Source organism: Homo sapiens, chromosome 13 (genome assembly GCF_000001405.40).
Source record: "Homo sapiens chromosome 13, GRCh38.p14 Primary Assembly".
Taxonomy (NCBI): domain Eukaryota; kingdom Metazoa; phylum Chordata; class Mammalia; order Primates; family Hominidae; genus Homo; species Homo sapiens.
Window position 1 is genome coordinate 36,995,236 of NC_000013.11, and position 14,981 is coordinate 37,010,216.

At 40.1% G+C, this 14,981-nt stretch overlaps 3 protein-coding genes across 51 annotated transcripts in view, besides 5 other annotated features; 1 reads left to right on the forward strand and 2 right to left on the reverse strand.

Annotated features, from left to right (window-relative positions):
- The window catches only part of ALG5 (ALG5 dolichyl-phosphate beta-glucosyltransferase), a 49,630-nt gene extending 45,498 nt beyond the window's left edge, over window positions 1-4,132 (reverse strand). For 2 of the 4 annotated variants that reach the window (XR_007063678.1, NM_013338.5), the window contains exons 1-2: window positions 4,000-4,105; window positions 190-361 (exon numbers count right to left, since the gene is read on the reverse strand). Coding sequence is in view for 3 of the 4 variants with exons in the window: in NM_013338.5 (NP_037470.1) it covers window positions 190-361; window positions 4,000-4,065 (238 nt within the window). In the remaining variant the exon portion in view is untranslated. Of the gene's footprint in view, window positions 1-189; window positions 363-3,999 lie in introns of those variants that run through there. The other 2 variants (NM_001142364.1, XM_047430283.1) reach the window with 2 other exon arrangements.
- Window positions 4,021-4,320: a silencer, noted in NCBI's record as "silent region_5270". NCBI's record gives its function as "represses an Ori minimal core promoter by ATAC-STARR-seq in GM12878 lymphoblastoid cells {active_cell/tissue: GM12878}" and the evidence as "EXISTENCE:reporter gene assay evidence [ECO:0000049][PMID:35858748]".
- Window positions 4,781-4,830: an enhancer, noted in NCBI's record as "active region_7591". NCBI's record gives its function as "activates an Ori minimal core promoter by ATAC-STARR-seq in GM12878 lymphoblastoid cells {active_cell/tissue: GM12878}" and the evidence as "EXISTENCE:reporter gene assay evidence [ECO:0000049][PMID:35858748]".
- Window positions 5,291-5,380: an enhancer, noted in NCBI's record as "active region_7592". NCBI's record gives its function as "activates an Ori minimal core promoter by ATAC-STARR-seq in GM12878 lymphoblastoid cells {active_cell/tissue: GM12878}" and the evidence as "EXISTENCE:reporter gene assay evidence [ECO:0000049][PMID:35858748]".
- EXOSC8 (exosome component 8) lies at window positions 5,551-14,379 on the forward strand. The gene is made up of 11 exons (NM_181503.3): window positions 5,551-5,587; window positions 7,038-7,074; window positions 7,253-7,316; window positions 7,699-7,772; window positions 9,281-9,326; window positions 10,685-10,790; window positions 10,880-10,925; window positions 11,740-11,836; window positions 12,822-12,942; window positions 13,494-13,600; window positions 13,949-14,379. Exons 1-11 carry the CDS (start codon window positions 5,571-5,573, stop codon window positions 14,062-14,064), a joined length of 831 nt encoding a protein of 276 aa, NP_852480.1. The 5' UTR covers window positions 5,551-5,570; the 3' UTR covers window positions 14,065-14,379.
- Window positions 5,581-5,840: an enhancer, noted in NCBI's record as "active region_7593". NCBI's record gives its function as "activates an Ori minimal core promoter by ATAC-STARR-seq in GM12878 lymphoblastoid cells {active_cell/tissue: GM12878}" and the evidence as "EXISTENCE:reporter gene assay evidence [ECO:0000049][PMID:35858748]".
- Window positions 6,061-6,120: an enhancer, noted in NCBI's record as "active region_7594". NCBI's record gives its function as "activates an Ori minimal core promoter by ATAC-STARR-seq in GM12878 lymphoblastoid cells {active_cell/tissue: GM12878}" and the evidence as "EXISTENCE:reporter gene assay evidence [ECO:0000049][PMID:35858748]".
- SUPT20H (SPT20 homolog, SAGA complex component) overlaps window positions 14,077-14,981 on the reverse strand; it is a 50,377-nt gene continuing 49,472 nt past the window's right edge. For all 46 annotated transcript variants that reach the window (XM_017020661.2, XM_024449379.2, XM_017020659.2 and 43 more), the window contains one exon: window positions 14,077-14,574. In XM_017020661.2, coding sequence (XP_016876150.1) covers window positions 14,474-14,574 — 101 coding nt within the window. In that variant the 3' untranslated portion in view covers window positions 14,077-14,473. The remainder of the gene's footprint in view (window positions 14,575-14,981) is intronic.

Below are 14,981 nucleotides of genomic sequence, written 5' to 3' on the forward strand. Positions count from 1 at the left end.
ATGATGCTGCTCCTATTCATGAGAGCAAATATTCACTTCCCTCTCTGCCGAACTACAACAATTATCAACTGTGTGCTCAACACAGCCCACATCTATTAATGTTTTGGCAAAGACAGTGAAGTCAAATACTTTAAATTTCCTTTTCTTTTCCAAACTACCCTTTACCAAAAAAATCAAAACAGGGCTTACACCGTTTTTCTTCATTGTATGAAGGCACAACGACAGAAAGTTGTTTGGTAGGTGAGTCCCATATGCTGGGTAAAGTTTCTTTCTGGCCTTTGGCATTTAAGAAGAATTTCTCTTCTTCATGTCGATGGAGTGCTGGCATTTTTGTAGCAGTTGTAAATGCAACGATGGAAATCTAAAAGCAGACATACATGTCTTTTACAAAACAGAAATTATGTTTTGCTGACTTTTCTGTATTTATGTTAGAATACATCATCTACTTTTCTTTTAGTTGAATACTCACTCTCAGGTTTTAGTTCATTAACAATGGTCTAGAGGTGACTCCAAAATTAGACAATAGTGAGTCCCCTACTTATGAACGAATTACTGTCCTTTTTTCCATCAGTAAGGTGCTGATGCCTTAGGAGGCTCTGTCTCTTCCCAGTCATCATTCGCCAGGCCTCCACCATCCCAGCTACAATAAAGGTCAGTCACTACAGGAAGACCAGTCTACTCTCAGGTGCCCTAAAACCCTGATCCTTAGCGTGTCTACATGCATAGAGACACACACACATATAGTAAGGTCCTATCGCTACTTGGAATCTATATGTGACAGGACAAGTCCATTTTGCAGTTGGAACATGCGGGGTGAGGGCACACTTTCCATCCAGGACCAGACAGACCCAAGATATAAAAGGAAGATTCCCCAGACTACCAAGTAGGGACCAACAATGTTTAAGAATATGTTTTTGACACTTAACTCGAATTTGAATTCAGAATACAGCATTTACTGAAGTATCTAACTTACAGGCTCCCTTCCATATGCACTTGGGAGCTAAGCTTTGGAAATAACCATTGTTTTTACATTGTTTCTATTGGTACACTTTCTGCTTTCAAAACAGTCTTTAAATTTTTGGAATGCTATTCATTTGTAATTTAATGATCAATTTGAAGACATTATCAAATTGTCATTGTCATCAGCTCCTGAGGTTTGATCTTTGAGGTCTGATCTTTACTGCCATCATCAACTACTATCACTTCAGAGATTATAAGATTATAATCAAAGATTATCAAAGATTATAAGGGCTGTGCTGAAAGGACAAAGTAGTCAACCTGAATGGGCTCTCAGTGGCCTATGATGCAAGAATCTGATCGTCCTCCCACTTCCCCCCTGCCAAAAAAAATTACTGCAATGGATCAAACCATGAAAAATACTGTAAATCATAAATTTGCAATGATACTAAAGACAAAAACTGGGTAAGATGCAGGAAGGATCTCATTTCAAAAATTTGCCTTTTGCGTTTTATATGTATGAAAGGTATTTTAGGGTAAATGAATAGCTGAGGATGAGATTTCTTTCATTACAAAACTCTAGGTAATAAATGAAGGATACAATGAGAATATTTCACTTTGCAACCCGCAATGAAATAAAGCATTTAGGTAATGATCCTCAATGACTACTAAAACCATTAGGCTGATGACAAACTTTATAAACTGGTGGGTCTGGCTGGCAACATTTGAAACCACAGATCCATCTTAACACCAGAGACAAATGGCCATTACATGACTCCTGATGAGACACAAGAGAAAGGAAGAAGCATCACTCACAATTTTTTCTTGATTAAAAAACACATCGAGTATGTATGTGATCAGGTCTCTCCATCCTAACTACCAGTTTATAGAAAATTTGAGATAGAAGATGTTAAAAGGCATTAAGGGGATGCAATCAAAGAAATCCAAATTGTGAGAAGTTCTACAGGACAAATGATCATATTAAAGACAAGGAAAAAGGCCGGGCGCGGTGGCTCATGTCTGTAATCCCAGAAGTTTGGGAGGCCGAGGAGGGTGGATCACCTGAGTTCAGGAGTTCGAGACCAGCCTGGCCAACATGGCGAAACCCCATCTCTATTAAAAGTACAAAAATTAACCGGGAGTGGTGGTAGGCGCCTGTAATCCCAGCTACTCAGGAGGCTGAGGCAGGAGAATTGCTTGAGGGCAGAGGTTGCAGTGAGCCAAGATCACACCACTGCACTCCAGCCTGGGTGACAAGAGCCAGACTCCGTCTCAAAAAAAAAAAAAAAAAAAAAAGACAAGGAAAAGAAAAAAAGGGGGAGGAGAAACTGTCAACTGATTAAGAGACTCAAGACATCAACAGAGTACAATGTGTGGCACTTGTTTGGATCCTGATTGGAACAAACAGACATATATACTGAGACATATATGAGACAAGTGAGGGCAAGTGAACTGAGGGGGCATTTGAAATCACAGAATAAATTTAAATCTGTGACCACTTTATTGTGGTATTTTAAAAAGAAGGACCTTATCTGTTAGAAATAAATGCTGAGGATTTAAAGATAAAATGTCTTCGAGTTGTTTTAAAATAATTCAGAAAGGAGGTGAGACTGTGAGTAATGGAGAGTGGATACATATGAAGACAGGATGAGGTTTTGAAAAATTATTTTTTTAATGATTTCTTGCTCTGGCATTTAAAAAACCTAAGTTTCACTAGTTGTGCAACATTTGAGTACACGAGCTCATTTCTCCAACATGTTTCCTCACCAGTAAAATAATGCTAATGATAACATATATGTCACAGTGTTAAAGATTTAATAACTCCTATTAAACCAAGTGCAACACAACATATAGTAAGTACTACAATCAATAAATGGTAGCTCTTATCACTTCAAGCTAGTGGGAACAAATACCGTCAGTACAATCCCATAAAATCTGTGCAAAAGACCCAAAGTAAGGCAGCTTCAATCTAAGAATGTGTGAATCCACTCCCCGCCCGCACCCCGCCAAAAATCAATCAATCAATCAATCAATCCTGGTTTGCTCAAAAACTTGAAAAAACAAAAAAGCCCTAAACCCTGAAATCTCTACTAGTTAGGGCAAGAGAGGACTCCTCTCTCACCCAGATACTATCAACAAAGAAGTAAGGATGCATTACATTTTATCTAAACTGTAAATTTATACAACCTCTGGAAAGATGGCAGAGTGGCCTTCCTGGCAGTGCTGTCTAGGTGGCTAATCTGAATGTCAAGGAAGCTGAAATCCTCTCCACTTACTAACTAGAGGGCAGGCTCATTCCAAGGTGTGCGGGAGAGAGTTCGCCAATTTTCTACCACTTAACAATCAGCAAGTGTTTACAATGTTTTTGTGTTTCGAGAGCAAGGGCAAAGACAATCGAGTTTGCATTCTATCGTCCTGCCTTGTTTAGGGGCAGTATATTTAGGGTGCTTAATTCTGGGACACAATGCGACCCCGGACAAGGCGCCTGAGGCCTGTCTCTCTCGCTCACCCTGCGTCCCTAGTGGGTCTCATCGATCCACGCATTTATTCCCATTTGTAACAGATGGCTGCCGTCAAGGCTCCGTCACCCCTATTTGCTTAACCACATCAGCCAAGGGAGCAGGCTAGGGAGCACACCCCTTCTGGGGGCTCGAGACCTCCCTGGGTGGAGCAGAACTGCAGCGGCTGCAGGTCCCGGAGAGTCTGGGAGAGGTCGAGGTTGACAGAGGAGGTGGGTAGGGGGCGCGGGCGCCAGGGGCGATGGAAGCGGCGATGATGCCAGGCCGGGTGGGTGCGCTCCAGTGTGAAAAAACTTACAAGTCTCTGAGCACACAAAGAGATAAGATTCCAAGGGAAAATTAAAGAACCGAAGAAAAGGAGAGTGAAACTCCAGGAAACTCCGAGGTCAGGAATTTGGGGGAATCTAGGGGAAAAGGGACTTCTCCGAGAACTGGTAGCGCGGAGGAGGGGACGCCTGAGGAGCCGCAGTCTCCAGGAGAGCGGTAAGCCCCGGCCTGCGCGGGTTCCCATCCCTGTTCTCACCAGTACGAGGGCTGCGGCCGCCAGCGCCGCGCCGAGCACCGCCAGCTGCAACAGAAGCGGAGCCATTCTCCATGCCGTGGCAGCCCGCCCAATCCCGCACCTCCACACAGGCGGAAGCGCGCCCGCGCGACCCGGCCCCGCCGCCAGAGAGGTCGCGCCCGCTGGCCGCAGCGCCCCCGCGTGGCGAGGCGGAGAAAACGCCGCTCTCGTGCCCTCGGCGCCCAGTCGGTGGAGAGGAGCGCTAGGTTCCACAGCGGGGCGCCAGGTTTATCAAGTATGCAAGACGTCTACTTAATTTGAATTTCAGATTAAAAAACTAATCATGTTTTTAACAGCCTTATTAAGATAGCCACATACCATACGACTCATCCAGTTACAGGTTTCTGGTTTATTACATTAGTTTTTATAAACTGTGGTAAAATAAAAAGTTGCCATTTTAATCATTTTAAGTTTACAATAGTGAGTGGCATTAATTACATACATACTGTGCAACCATCACCACTATCTATCTGTAAAGCCTTCCCAGCTCCCTCCAGGTTCTGGCAACAACTAATTGCATGCTCTATTTGGGGCATACTCATGCTTTAAAAAAAAAAAAACCCACAAAAAAACAAAAACAAAAAACAAAAAAACCACGCTGTGTTTATCAGACATTCAAATTTAACGTGGTATCCTGTATTTTATCTGGTAACCCCACCTAGGAGGGAGATGGCAGCCTTGAGCACGACACAGTCTACAACACAAGGTGATGCTTAGGAGCCCTCAGCTCCGGGACCTGCAGAGCAGAACGTGGTGCGGACAATGAGCGCACAGAAAGTTCAGGTTTCTCGGCCGAGCGCCGTGGCTCACGCCTGTAATCCCAGCACTTTGGGAGGACGAGGCGGGCGGATCACAAGGTCAGGAGATCGAGACCATCCTGGCTAACACGGTGAAACCCCGTCTGTACTAAAAATACAAAAAATTAGCGGGGCGCGGTGGCGGGCGTCTGTAGTTCCAGCTACTCGGGAGGCTGAGGCAGGAGAATGGCGTGAACCCGGGAGGCGGAGCTTGCAGTGAGCCGAGATCGCGCCACTGCACTCCAGCCTGGACGACAGAGCGAGACTCTGTCTCAAAAAAAAAAAAAAAAAAAGTTCAGGTTTCTCATGTGTTGGAGCACGGAGCCCTTGACCAGTGAAGAGGCAAGGCCAGGGCTGAGCCTAAGTCACAGGCAGAAAAAAGACGCAGAAACATTGGAATAACGCTCCACACGCACTGCTTGATTCTGCGCTAGAAACCCTGTTATCTCCGAACTGTTGGTGTTATTCTGAGTCACAGCACCAGCTCTTTTATAAAGAGGGAGACCCGCTCCTTCTTTAACAGCAGATTCGTCAAAATACGTCCAAGGCAAGGAAACCTAGAAAGGCGTCTGGGCAGGGGAAAGTCGATGCGAGGGCGGGCCAGGGACCTTTCGTCGCGTCCCCACCTTGGCATTTCCCGTGGCGTGAGCGGCCCCGGCATCCGTGTCGAAAGTGCGGCGGCGGAACAGGCGCGCAGGAGAGGAGCGGCGCAGGCGCAGACGCGCGGGCGGGAAGATGGCGGCTGGGTTCAAGTGAGTGTTGGCGGGTGGCGGGTAGAGTTCTGTACCCTGGCGGACGGCAGCTTCCTTTAACTCTTAGCTGGGATTCTCTCACCTGGAGGCCGACCCCGTTGGGGTGCCATTTCCTTCCTCGTCGAGGCAGACGATGGGCGGGAGGACCTGGAGGTTGTCACAGTGAAAAGAAAGGGCTTCTTCCTCAGTGAGACGGGAGATGAAAGGACTCTGTAGAGTTCCATACCCGCTGCGAGCGCTCGTGAGCGTGGTGTGTAGTGAACGTGCAGTCCCAGGAGACATAGTTGTAATCTTTTAAAGATTGTGGCCGGGCGCGGCGGTTCACGCCTGTAATCCCAGCACTTTGGAGGACGAGGCGGGCGGATCACCTGACGTCAGGAGTTCGAGACCAGCCTGGTGTACATGGTGAAACACTGTCTCTAATAAAAATATAAAAATTAGCCGGGCGTGGTGGCGGGCGCCTGTAGTCCCAGCTACTCAGGAGGCTGAGGCAGGAGAATCGCTTGAACCCGGGAGGCAGAGGTTGTAGTGAGCCGAGATCGCGCCACTGCACTCCAGCCTGGGCGACAGAGTGAGACTCTGTCAGAATCAATCAATCAAGATTGTTGCATCAGAACCACATACCGCCTGCTTCTCCCTCTCCCGTAATTTATTTCTAAAAGGATCATGCCTCGTTTGGAAGGTTTTTGTGTGTGTGAAGCCAGTGGACTTTCTTAAAGTTTTTAAAAAATGGATAAAATAAATAGGATTCCAAAGGAAATCCATTATGTTGAAATAGTTATCTATGAGTATAAACTCCGAAGACACGATATAGTAGTATATATACTTGGTTTAAAATTAACCTTCGTAAACAAGATCTAGTGGCGAGACTAGTAGTAACTCCTGGGATTTCAAAGTAACGGTGAGCCTGAACATACCTTACACAGCTAAAGGGTGCAAACGAAAACATCTGTGGTCTCCGTGGTTGTTAAAGTTGCAGGTACTGCTAATGTTACTATGGCTTATTGCTTACAGTCATAATTGAAGAATATGCTAAATTTCACTTACAGTGAAAATAAAGATGTACCTTTTTGTTTCCTGAGTTATCTAGTAAGAGGTTAACTATTCATGATCACTAGATTATTAAAATAATCTTTTTTCATGATCACTAGATCACTCTGAATCCTTGTTTCAGAGCAAGAACGACATGATTCTTTTGACACAGATTGAGCTTTTAAAGAGCTCACTCAAAGGGCTTTTAGACGCCAATCTTCTAATCGTTTATGGCAGAGTTAAGGACAGCAATTGAATGTGATTGCTACTACAAGGATTTTTACTTTCTAGAATTACTTTTAGTTAAAAAGTTGTGGAGATTTATGCTGCATCACCACACTTAAGATCTTTGCCAATTTCTGGATTTATGTTAAGATTCATCAGTTTATCTCAGATATATTTTTAACACGTGTTTCAGAACCGTGGAACCTCTGGAGTATTACAGGAGATTTCTGGTGAGTAAAGGTTATGTACATGTTATGCGTTTTGATAACGAGCTGCTTTTAAAGATGAATTTCAAGTAATTTAAATTAATCCATTTGAAGTAACATTTAATGTGTGTGTAAAACTTGTGATAGATGTGTAAAATATGTAATAGGTATAATCTATTTTTATATAAACATATTTATTTAGAAAGAGAACTGCCGTCCTGATGGAAGAGAACTTGGTGAATTCAGAACCACAACTGTCAACATCGGTAAGGATGTATTTTCCACTTTCAACTGTATGATATTCCCAAGTTTTAGTCTATGAACCAGCCAAACAGTTTTTCACCCAAATTCTTTGTCTAAAGGATTTGATGATTTTTTTTGTCAAGAGATTTTTATCCGTACAAAAGCCCTGTAACTAAATGAAAAATGATTAACACAAATTCAAGGACAGGTGAATAATTATTTAAACACTAATTTAAAATAGTTATGTAAAAATCAATTATTCTAACTTGAAATATTCATAAGCAACTGAGAGGGGTAGCAAGATAATCGTACACAGCAAACTAAAACACTTAATTTTAATTATTATGTGGATAATTTTGTAGCTGTTTTCCTTTTATGAACCTTTCATTTTGCTTATCTTTTCAGGTTCAATTAGTACCGCAGATGGTTCTGCTTTAGTGAAGTTGGGAAATACTACAGTAATCTGTGGAGTTAAAGCAGTAAGTCTAAATATGTCCTATTGAGATTTGAGTTACAAAGTTAGCTTTATTTATTAGATTGTAATATACACCTGTAATTCTACTCTTGATTTGGTAGTTGGGTGTCAATTTTTAATGTTTAATTTCCCAAGAGCTTTCACTATGAGTGTTAGATAATATGACCCAAGTTTAATGACTAAGTGAACAATTGTCAAATGTAGCAAAATGAAACAACTTTTAAAATCTGAGTCACCATTTTAAAAAAATTGTTATATCATTTGAGACATTAACAGATTTTTGGTGACATCCTTTTAGCCAGTGATGACATGTAATCTGTGTAAATGTGTAGAAAATTGAAATTGTTGAAAAGAAAAATTTGAGGGAATACTGGCTACCATTTACTGAGTACTTGCTATGTTCCAGACACCTTTTTAGGTGCTTTACAGAATTATCCACTTTAATGCCTATAACAATCATTTGTTACTTGTCTTCACCTCCTGTTTTACAGATGACTTTCAGTAACCTGTCCAGGTACATAAGACTCATAAGTAAAACTTAGACATAAATCTGACTCCAAAGCCTGTGCTTCTTTGACTACAGTATACCCTGTGTTATTTAACCTCAGTTGAGATTCTTCTTTCGTAAACCTGGAGTGATGTATAACAGTAAGATTTGAGAACTTGCTCCTTGTCAGGTTTTATGCCTGGGATTTAACAGGTCTATCTCATTTGGCCCTTATTAACAGTCCCTAGGAGTAGACACTATTTTCTTCCCATTTGACAAGATGAGGAGTTTAAGGTAAGAGGTTAAATAACTTGCCTGAAGTCTCTCAGCCAGTAAGTATGGCTCTGACATTTGAACTGGCTTAGTAATTGCAGAGCATTTGCTTTTTTTTTTTTTTTTGAGACGGAGTCTTGCTCTGTCGCCCAGGCTGGAGTGCAGTGGCACGATGTCAGCTCACTGCAAGTTCCGTCTCCTGGGTTGAAGTGATTCTCCTGCCTCAGCCTCCCAAGTAGCTGGGATTACAGGCGCCCGCCACCATGCCTGGCTAATTTTTGTATTTTTAGTAGAGACGGGGTTTTGCCATCTTGGCCAGGCTGGTCTCAAACTCCTGACCTCAGGTGATCCGCCCGCCTCTGTGTCCCAAAGTGCTGGGATTACCGGTGTGAGCCACCGCGCCCAGCTGAGCTTTTGCTCTTTACCACTAAAGCAGCAGTTCCTAAATCTTGCTCTATCATCTGGAGAACAAATTAAGATTCTTGGCTAGTAGTTGGGGGCACAAACCCAGTTACTATTTTTTAAAAGATCTCCAGGTAATCTTGCCGAGCAGCACTGTAGTGTAGTCCACTGTACTGTAGTGCCTTCTTATCTTGTAGAGCTATTGTGAGGATCAGCACCAATGTCCGTAGAGGCCCTGACACAATTCCCTAAGCTGATATTTGATAGAGCCTTCCATAACTGATTGCTAAATTGTCTTCATAATTTTTCAGTAGCTTCTTTCAATAGGAAACATTTCTTTGCTACTATAGGAATTTGCAGCACCATCAACAGATGCCCCTGATAAAGGATACGTTGGTAAGTTAAATGGTTTTGTAATTTTAATACAAATACTTTTAACACATTTAATAATTTTTAGTTAAGTCCTAGTTAAGTTGATGTAAAGAAAATTATTCCTAATATTCGGAAATATTTATGAATAAAACAAATTCCTCAAAAGTTTTCCGTGTGTTAGTAAAAGATAGCATAATAGCAGGATATAGAATTTCATAAATTTAACCTTTATCAAACTTGTTTGCTCAATTTTTGTTTATACATTCATAAGTTACTAACCAAGAAAATAGAATTTTGGCTGGGTGTGGTGACTCACACCTATAATACCAGGATTTTGGGAGGCCAAGACAGCAGGATCGCTTCAGCCCAGCAGTTCAAGACCAGCCTGGGAAACAAAGGAGACCCCGTATCTACAAAAAAAATCAAGTTAGCTGGGTGTGCCAGTGCACACCTGTGTCCCAGCTACTTGGGAGGCTGAAGCAGGAGGATTGCTTGAGCCTGGGAGGTTGAGGCTACAATGAACTATAATTGTGTCACTGCATTCAAGCCTGAGTGACAGAGTGAAACCCTGTTTCAAAAGAAAAAAAAAATAGAATGGAATTTTTTTAAGTCAAAGAACTGTCATTGCACACCTTTTGTTTCCATAAAGATTCTTTGCTTTATACAACTGCTATTTTTTTCTTGCCTTGGAACCATCTGTTCTTTATGGTAGGAACCAACATTTTTTTTAAATGAGAAAAACAGTTGGATGTTAGCAGAGGGGCTATATATACTTCAGTTACAGATTGAGGTATTTTGAAAGATACCAGGAAAACTCGTAAAGGATTTAGAATTGAGGTCTAAAATAGATTTTTTAAAAAGGCATATGGGGGAAAAATGTCAGAAAAATAGAAATTTCATGGCTGGGAGTCTTAGAGAGACCAAACAGAATATAACTATAATGTTACAATGTATTCTACTCAGAAGAGCCTGTCCATGGCCACAGTTGCCTTTACTGTGGATTGATAATACCTTTAACACTTCAGTAATCCATAAATTGAAAAGTTTAGGCCGGGCATGGTGGCTCACACCTGTAACCTCAGCACTTTGCGAGGCTGAGGCGGGCGGATCACGAGGTCAGGCGATCGAGACCATCTTGGCCAATATGGTAAAACCCTGTCTACTAAAATACAAAAAATTAGCCGGGCGTGGTGGCGTGTGCCTGTAATCTCAGCTACTTGGGAGGCTGAGGCAAGGAAATCTCTTGAACCTGGGAGGTAGAGGTTGCAGTAAGCTGAGATCGCACCAATGCACTCCAGCCTGGCAACAGAGCAAGACTCCATCTCAAAAAAAAAAAAAAAAAAAAAAAGGTTTAGTTCATAGCTGCAGAGTGTTTCTTTCAGTTCCTAATGTGGATCTACCACCCCTGTGTTCATCGAGATTCCGGTCTGGACCTCCTGGAGAAGAGGCCCAAGTGGCTAGCCAGTTCATTGCAGATGTCATTGAAAAGTAAGAGCACCATGATAAAATTTTATTACAATTCATTTTCAGATAGTTTTGGGCTTTTCATTTACTTTGCTCTTTGTCATTAAATCAAGTTCACAGATAATTCAGAAAGAGGACTTATGCATTTCTCCAGGAAAGGTAAGAGGAATAGAGAAGCTATAAGTTCTTATTAATTCTGAAGGGATTTTTTTTTTGTGGGGGAAAGTGAACAAGGAAATTAAAACCACCAATCAAAGTAGCTTTAAATATGGATGTCTTACAGATTTTAGAGATTCAGTAATTTCTTACTCTATAATTCTCTAAATGAACCATATTGTTTATAAAAAAACAAGTTTGACTAACTTACTGCCTGTCTGGGAGCTACCTTTTAAACTGAAGTAATTTTTTTCCCCCTTAACTTTTAAAGTTCAATCATTTTTTATTCCTTATAGCAGATTATAACATTAATCATGTTAACATATGTTTATGGTGAATCCACACAGTAGATTCCAAAGTCTATTTGAAAATGTAAAACTAGGTTGATTAGAACCTAGAGAGGCTTTCCTACTAGATCATATAAACTGATACATTAGCACTGTAAAACTTAAACATTTCATGTATTATGAGAACGTGCATTTTGAATTTTAGCTAGGGCTTTCAAAACCATCTCCCTTATCTGTAACCTCCCAATGAGAATGGAAATTCCTTCTACATCTGTAGCTCCATTAAGGGAAATGGACATGTTTGTCATTTGTCAGCCTGGCAATCAAAAGCCAGCTTTCACAAAACCTGTCCACTTTCTTCTGGTTTTCTATAGAACTTTAAAAAGGTGAAGCATTTTCTTAAGGTTTTTGAGCCTTGAAAGTTATCTTGCTTGTTTAACCAAGGGTTCTGTGGTTCTTAAGTCTAAGCTAATAGCATGTTCTACCCATTAGAAGACTTTAATTTCCTTTTGTGTTTAATTCTATTTTAGCTTGTCTGGGTTCTATACTGTGATCTCATTTGCCTCGACTACGATGGAAACATTTTGGATGCCTGCACATTTGCTTTGCTAGCGGCTTTAAAAAATGGTAAGCAGCCTTACAAAAAAGGCAATATTCCCACTCATGGGTTAGAATGTTGTTTTGTGAAACTTTTAATGTACATTTGCTTTCGTATGCTTCCAAATTAATGAATGTAATGCTGACATGACTTTCCAAATATAGTTGATAGTTGTATATTCTCTAACTGAATGCTCTTTAGAGTGCTGCTTTGACTGTACCCATCTACTTAAGTTAGGACTTCAGTCCTTTCCAAAATAGTGTTAATATTGGTGGGAGAAGGAGACAAGAGTTGTAACTTCTGGCTAGGTGATTGGTGAAGATCTGCCAGTATCCTCATAGTTCTTTATGTGATATTGCCAAAAGAAGTAGAATGGATTCTGTTGTTTTTACTGTGAGGCCATAGTAATAGGGAAGTTTCTTAGCAAGGAGTCTAGGTTGACTGATTAGTTACAGATTTCAATAACTTGTGCATATTCCCTATCATTGATGAATGATGAATTGGTAGGAACAAATAATTGGAGGTGGAATATAAAGTTAGCACAGCAATATTATAGTAGAGTGGTTAAGTGAATTGGAGGTAGAAAATGAAGTCAGCAAAATATTATAATAGACTGGTTAAAGTAGATTCCTGGCTCTCTCACTCTGTGCTGAAGTTTCCTTATCTATAATAAAATAGGGATAATAGTACTTACTTTGTAAGAGTATTGATTAGGTGAATACAATGAAAATATGAAAATGCTTAAAACAGTACCTGGCAGATATAAATTTAAAAAAAAATCATTGACTTCTTAAACTTAAAAAAAAATTATGCAATAAGCACTAGGTAGGAATGTCAGATGTTGTGAAAAGCAATGTATATCCTCTATATTTACCTTAGTGGCTGTAAGGTGCTTTTTAAAAAGAAATGTTCTGGGCAAGTTAAATAGAGGGAAAGGTGAATTAAAAAAAAAAAAGCTTAGAAATCATTTGTTTCTTAGAGACTTACTTACTTTACAAATTTGCCTTTTCTTAGTACAGTTGCCTGAAGTTACTATAAATGAAGAAACTGCTTTAGCAGAAGTTAATTTAAAGAAGAAAAGTTATTTGAATATTAGAACTCATCCAGTTGCAACTTCCTTTGCTGTGTTTGATGAGTAAGTTAATCAAACTTACTTTAAAATTTTCTATATTTAAGATTAGGGTAATTGATGTTCAGCATTCTAACTCTTTAGGAAGTGCTATGGTGACCCTACATCCTAGTTTTCCCTGGACACTTGAGTTTCTACTTGTCCCTGCACAATTATTTCTAGTCACTGCACAATTATTACCTGTTCCTTGGTTTACTTATACCTGTGTAATGTTAATTTCCAATTCTTTCACTATAAGATTTATCTGAAGCTATCTTCAATATTTTCCAAGGATTTTAGCACGTTCAGAAATAGAAGAGCAGGGCCGGGCATGGTGGCTCATGCCTGTAATCCCAGCACTTTGGGAGGCTGAGGCAGGGGATCACCTGAGGTCAAGAATTCAAGACCAGCCTGGCCAACATGTTGAAACCCTGTCTCTACTAAAAACACAAAAATTAGCTGGGTGTGATGGCGTGTGCCTGTTAATTCCAGCTACTTGGGAGGCTGATAGTATGTTTAGTATTTTAAAGTAAAATTTGTTCCATGGATTGATAACTTATATTTTTTTCTTTTTATAGCACTTTGCTTATAGTTGACCCTACTGGAGAGGAGGAACATCTGGCAACAGGAACCTTAACAATAGTAATGGATGAGGAAGGCAAACTCTGTTGTCTTCACAAACCAGGCATGTTCCCGCCACTTCAGTCCTAAACATATGTAGATGAAAACTCAGTGTGAGCCTTAAATTAGGGAGGGCCAAATAGAATATGGGATATTTTATTTACCTAATTTTAGTATAGTTTCTTAGCTACCTAAAATGTTCTTCCATCTTAATGGTATATGTCAGTGGTTCTTAAACTTAAGACATACATTAGAATCACTTGGAGGTCTTGTGAAACTAACTTGTAGATCTTGAGACTGTACCCTGATTTACATTATCCAATTTTTTTGTTTTATAATTTGACATGACATTAATGTTTTTTGAAAAGGAATGATAACTGAGATTAAAAGTATTGGCAAAATAATTTTTCAGGTGGAAGTGGGCTAACTGGAGCTAAACTTCAGGACTGTATGAGCCGAGCAGTTACAAGACACAAAGAAGTTAAAAAACTGATGGATGAAGTAATTAAGAGTATGAAACCCAAATAAACAGCCACCACATTTTCAAAACAGATTTGTAAAAATTGTATTTGTTAACACTGTGCACAAACGTTTTATACTAAATAAATATCAAACTACATTCTTCTGAAAGATGTTTCTATTATTTCTTAGGTCACTTCCATATATATTATGTATAGTGAAACCATTTTTAAAAAGCAATGACTTAGGCAAACCAACCCTAGTTTGTTAAACCATTTCCCTGTTTTTATTTAAAAATGATAAGGTTGTGCTTCTGTATAAAGTTTGTACATCTAGCAATGTAAAATACTGACACATTAAAAAAAACAAAAAGTAGAAACTCAATTCTTTTGATTCAGTGCTCTTGTGTTTTTAAAAAAGGAACAAAAAGTAATGCAAGACTCAAAATTTTGGAGTGGTTGGCGTGCCTCTCTTCATTTTACTTTTTGACTGGCTGCCTGTATGCCGATGATGATGTAGCTGAGCTGTTTGTGCTGCTGCTGCTGCCATAGCCATTTGATGCTGCAAGAATCGCAACTGCTGCAAAAGGGAGGGAAAAAAATCGAGTTATGTTAAATGCAGGCAGGTGTAGAAAGGTGCTTTTCCTGAGTGACGAAACAACACAACTGAAAAAGGGAGAAAGCACCAAGATAACAAAAAGGGACTATACCACATTGAGACAATGCACAGTCAAACAGCACCAGTGGCACAGAAGCCTGCTAAGGGCTTTAAAAATGATTCTTGGCAAACTTCAAAATTATTTGTTACTTTGCCCTGCCAGTCTATATTGTAGTAACTCAGCAACTTCAGTTACCATTTTGTTGTATAATGATGGTTTATAGCAATATAAAACAACCCTGAATATCAAGATAGTCAACTATAATATGCTGACTTTCCTTCCTAAAATTATGGTATAACATTTTTCTAAATAAACAGGTATGACATTT